General features: G+C 40.8%; 1 annotated feature.

Annotated features, from left to right (window-relative positions):
- Positions 787-1,081: a silencer, noted in NCBI's record as "tiled region #4372; K562 Repressive DNase matched - State 5:Enh". NCBI's record gives its function as "represses a minimal TATA promoter and a strong SV40 promoter by Sharpr-MPRA in K562 cells {active_cell/tissue: K562}" and the evidence as "EXISTENCE:reporter gene assay evidence [ECO:0000049][PMID:27701403]".

Here is a 5,766-nt window from a genome sequence, read left to right as displayed (position 1 = left end):
TCCTATAGGCCTCATGAGGCTTCTTATCGTTTTGCTGTAAGATTTTTATGATTCTCTCCTCTGCTATACCATATGCACTTTGAATGCAGGAATTGTGCCACACATCTTCACAACTGTTACCCCCCACGGTACCTAGCACATAGCAATCCCTCCAGAAATGCTCTCAAGAAGCTAAATGGAAACAATATTCTGGAGAAGTTGGAAAATTAAATAGGATTGACTTTCAAACTGTAAATTTGCTTGGTCCTCAGTAAAGATTCCAAAGCTGTTTCCCACCCCTCAGTCAGCCTAAGTGAAGGTGAAAGCTCGGAGGATTAACACAAGTTATTTTCACTGTTGGAAGACATTTCTGAAATCTACTGATCTGGAATGTTAATCACCTCTTACCATCCAACTCATTAACACAAATGCTTTGAAAGAAAATAAATAAACTACACTAAAACCAGTCTTTTTTTTTTTTTTTTTGGTCACATTTCAAAGCTGCCTCTCACCACAGTTCACATTCTCACACAAGTTCAAAGAAAACAGGAAGTGCCCTAGAAACACTGAGAACCCTCTTTCTTTGTGTCCTCTGGGGTAGTCCACTAGCCACTTAAAGCCCCAAAAGTAGTTCTTTGGCTTTTTTCTCTAATCAAAAGAAGAAAAGAGCTAATAAGAGATATTTCCCTTTGTTGGTTTGTTATCCTTGACAATCTTTCCCACTAAAACGTTTGTTACCTTGAATTTAGCCTTTTATTTCATTATTGGAATGAAAAGCTTCCTCTGTTTGTTTTAAGCATAAATATGGAAAAACTACTCACAGAGGCAAGGAAGACTGCTTGAAATGACACTAAGCCTCCTTAACAGCTTTCAGCCTTTCAGAGTGGCTAGGAAACAAGCACTGCCCTCTCCCCGTCTGGGGACCGATTAGGATAAGACTCTTCCACCCCAGGCCCCAGCTAGCGGTGGTGGTTAAGAACAGGACCATTACAGGACCCAAAGAGGCCACTCTGCATGAGCCTGGAGAGTAAAACCCCGGTTGAGAACAACTGCCTTAACCATATTCATTCAGTCAGTCAACGTATGGAACCACAATTTTAGCCTTCCTCAAGACTGTTTTCAGCATGTTTCTCATTACTTTGTACGGTATTTAACTGCTTTTCTGGTACCGTAACTTTGTGTATTATTTTAAAACTCATTATCTTCATTTTCCATATAATCTTCCCACATGCATTTTCTGGATACAAAGCTCCGGAAACACATCTTCTTCTGTTACTGCAATAATCCTTTTTTTTTTTTTTTTGAGACGGAGTCTTGCCCTGTCGCCCAGGCTGGAGTGCAATGGCACGATCTCGGCTCACTGCAAGCTCTGCCTCCTGGGTTCATGCCATTCTCCTGCCTCAGCCTCCTGAGTAGCTGGGACTACAGGCGCCTGCCACCACGTCCGGCTAATTTTTTGTATTTTTGGTAGAGACGGGGTTTCACCGTGTTAGCCAGGATGGTCTCGATCTCCTGACCTCATGATCCGCCTGCCTCGGCCTCCCAAAGTGCTGGGATTACAGGCGTGAGCCACTGTGCCTGGCTTATGTTACTGCAATAATCCTTAAGCAGAAGGCTGTACTACACATTATCTAGAAAACTTATACAAATTTGAAGAAGATGACTCTATAATGATCACCTTATTTCTTAAGATGCTGTCCACACATACACACACACATTCCTCCACGCATTCCTCCAAACCCATGGGGAATAAGATGCCGGGGTTACACGCAGCCTCAGGAGAAACAAATTTCCCGAGCATCCATTTTGCTTAAAGATTTAGGGAGTTAAGAACAATAAAACAACATTTTTATATTAAACCCAGCAATGAACAATTTGAAATAAAATGATTTTTGGCATGAATTTTAAAATGAGACATCAACAAAATTGTGTTTTGCAATGGGCCACATTAGGCCATGGTCCCAGGCAGGCCAGTGCTTCAGCAAAGTTGAGATCTAGTTGAACACAGCATTTCACCAAATTAAAATGGCAAGAGCGTTGAGAGAACATGTGATCCAAACTGCACCTGAGAAGCAGGTGTGCTGTTTTTTTTTTTTTTTTTTTTGAGATGGAGTCTTGCTCTGTCGCCCAGGCTGGAGTGCAGTGGCACGATCTTGGCTCACTGCAACCTCTGCCTCCTGGTTCAAGCGATTCTCCTGCCTCAGCCTCAGCTGGGACTACAAGGCATGCGCTCCCACGCCTGGCTAATTTTTGTATTTTTAGTAGAGATGGGGTTTCACCTTGTTGGCCAGGCTGGTCTCGAACTCCTGACCTCAGGTGATCCACCCACCTCAGCCTCCCAAAGTGCTGGGATTACAGACGTGAGCCACTGAGCCCGGCCAGGTGTGCTGTTTTTAAACTTACCTTACACGTGAGGTAGCCATCTTGCCTGGGACACATAGCTAGTAATCTCTGTGTGTTTTCAATTCTCATCATGTAATCAGTGAATAGGATGAGTCGTCTGAAGAACTGCAATTTATAAACCTGCTTTCGGGGAAGGATCTTTCCAAGTGGGGAAATAGATCCAGTCAATCTGAAACCTGAATTTCATTATATTAGGATAAGAAATTATTATGTAAACTTGCCTTCCTCTGATGTATCTTGCACACACATACACCTGCCTTTTTTAGTTTATTTGAAAAATTTCAGCCCATCTTAGCTAAAGCGTAAATGTGAAGTGAAATTGAGATTAAATTTGTAAAATTGCCTTGTTACTGTCTTCTCTCTTCCCACCTAATTTCTGACAAAGTCCTCTGCTGTTATTCTGCTTTCCCCAAGCCCCGCCAAGGGTGTAGGGTTTGTTTGGTTTTGTTTCGTTGCCATAAGCTATATAACCAGGGCAAGACATTTAACCTCTCTTGGCCTTTTTTTTAATTTGAAAATTCAAGTACTGAAGTAGATCTCAACACCAAATTTCTATACATCTGTATAAAACACAATTTTACTGGAAGAATCACATTTATGAGTCACCTGTTGCTTATATACACTATGTATTTTAATATATTAAAAAATAATTTTATTCCTAGATTTTATGAGCTGTTAAAAGACAAAATTCAGCAGCATTTTCTAATACTATTTTTTAAAACGTTTAGGGAAAAATGTCAATGGCACACTTTCTTTCAAACAGATCTGCTCTTAGCAACTCCAGAGTAACAAAGGAGCTGTAATGGTTTTTTTCCTCTTGTAAGAGTTGTTAGTACACAAAACAGATGAGTATGGCCAGTGGCCCAAGGGAGTGTTGGTAGCAACCTCCCGAGGCCTTAATATTTTTGTTTCTTAACCAAGCAATCAAGTGCTGGCTCCATCCATTCTAGACAACTCTCAAACAGGTTAAATAGCTACCTGATCTGAGCAGTACTTGATCTGAGCAGCCTATAACCACAAAGCAATAGGCTTGTCTTAAACAATTATAACCCTGAATGAGGAGGAGGTTGGGTGGAAGGGGTCAATAAAGGAAAAAGGGATTAACAGATGACAAAATGATCAGGGAGTAGATATCAAGTGAGAAAGTTCCAAGATAGGAAATGTGACACACAAGTTGGACCAGAGTACTTTTCTGGGACTTTAATCCATGCTCTCCTTCTTCCTTTCCCCTCCTCATCATCCCCCCTTCTCACCCCCTACCCCAACTCTCTTCCCTAATTATAATTTCTCTCAAGGAGAAAATGAGGCCGATTTAGAGGAGAGTTCTGATTCTCTCATTTGAATCCCTGAAGCCAATTCTACATTGGACTTTCTCAGTTACATGAACTAATTAATCCTTCTGGGGGGGTTGGTGGGGATAAAATAGTAGATTGGGTTTCCCTGGCAATTTAAACAGTTCTATTATGGTTAATTACTCTAATAAAGCTAAATATGTAAATTTTTCTCTACTCAGAATTACAAGAATTTACATAGATTTTTGCTTAATGTGAAAATCAAAATCAGTTGTCACTGTAAATTAAGGATAATGTAGGTATGCTATTGCCTGGTTTGCTCTGAGAAAATCTGGCAATTCAAACCAGTTATTTTATATTATACTCAAAGATTTAATACTTCCTTCTAAAAGAAATTCATGCAAAAGGTTGTAAAGTGATAACAAGAAAGGATGTGTTGCATTGATAAGACTGGGACAATTAAGTCAGTGTTTTCTTAGAAACATAATCTCCCTCTCATATCATTCTTTTTATCTCCTGAGCTCCCATTTTGCTGAATTTGTGTTAAGTCATTCTACACGTGACGCATCTAGGATGCATCTAGGATGAATCTTCTGCATTCTGCTCTGTGGTATGGTGCTACTCAGTGTAGACCAGCGGTCCCCAACCTTTTCTGGCACCAGGGACTGCTTTTGTGGAAGACAAATTTTCCATAAACGGACAGGGGGTTGGGGGGATGGTTTTGGGATGAAACTCAGATCATCAGGTATTAGGTTCCACCTCAGATCATCAGGTATTAGGATTCTCATAAGGAGCGCACAACCTAGATCCCTCGCAGGCACTGTTCACAATAGGATTCTGGCTCCTATGAGAATCTAATGCACTGGTCTGACAGGAGGCAAAGCTCAGGAGGTAATGCTTGCTTGCCTGACACTCACCTGCTGGTGTGCGGCTGGTTTTCTAAGAGGCCACAGACCACCACCAGTCCATGGCCCAAGGACTGGGGACTCCTGGTATACACCACAGACTAACAGTATTAGAATTATTTTGAAGCTTGTTTGAAATGCAAATTACCTGGTACCATTTCAGATCAACTAAATCAGAACCATTAGGAGTGGGATCCAGAAATTTGTCCCAGTGATTTTTAAGCACATTAAAATTTTAAAACCACTACTGTTTGTCTGCATGCTTTTTTATTTTGCTCATGCTTAACATTGGCAAAAGAAAACATTCTGTTAGTCTTATAGAATGGATGACTTTACAGCTTTCTACTGTATCTGAAACCAGTTTATATTTTTCTTCAAGATACAGTTTGGAGCTGGGTTTTTTTTTTTTTTTTTTTTTTTTGAGGCAGGGTCTTGCCCTGTCACCTGCAGTGGTGCAATCTTGACTCACTGCAGCCTCAACCTCCTGGGCTCAAGCGATCCTGCTGTCTCAGCATCCCAAGTAGCTGGGCCTACAGGTGCATGCTACCATGCCTGGCTAATTTTTTTTTTGTAGAGATGGAGTTTCACCTTGTTGCCTAGGCTGGTCTTGAATTCCTCGGCTCAAGCAATCCACCCATCTTGGTCTCCCAGCCATGAGCCACTGCACCTGGGCTGTGGATCTATTTGTTTCTATTTGCTTTTCTGAAGCCTAGGGGAAAAGGAGCCAGCTGAATTAAAAAAAAAAAATCTGATATTTGCTCTTTCTTCTGAGATTGTTAAATTGTCTATACCAGTCAATAGAGGAAAAACATTCATTTTGTTTCTCTCCAGATTTAAGGATGTTAGTGTGAATGTTTCAGGAATTCTGCAGGTTGGGGGTAAAGACAGACAGTGATGTAAACTGTTCCACTTTGCTCCACTCCAGCACAGAATACATCACAGAGCTATTGACAGTTCAGCAGCACTGAAGCACAAGTAGACCGTAAGGCTTGAGAAGTAGCATAAGGTCCAAGAGTATGGTAAGACTTGAGTGCCAGACTGATAGTGAGTCATAAACACTGGTCGGGTTAAGAAGCCATTAAAAAGTAATGATAATAACTTTTATAATGCAAAATTTTGTGAGTATAGTTACCATATAAAGTGCTCTAATGTAGATTTAATTCCACAAAGTAGGAGTTCCTTTCAAA

Source organism: Homo sapiens, chromosome 3, assembly GCF_000001405.40.
Source record: "Homo sapiens chromosome 3, GRCh38.p14 Primary Assembly".
Classification (NCBI taxonomy): domain Eukaryota; kingdom Metazoa; phylum Chordata; class Mammalia; order Primates; family Hominidae; genus Homo; species Homo sapiens.
This window is presented reverse-complemented; position numbering and strand designations above follow the sequence as displayed.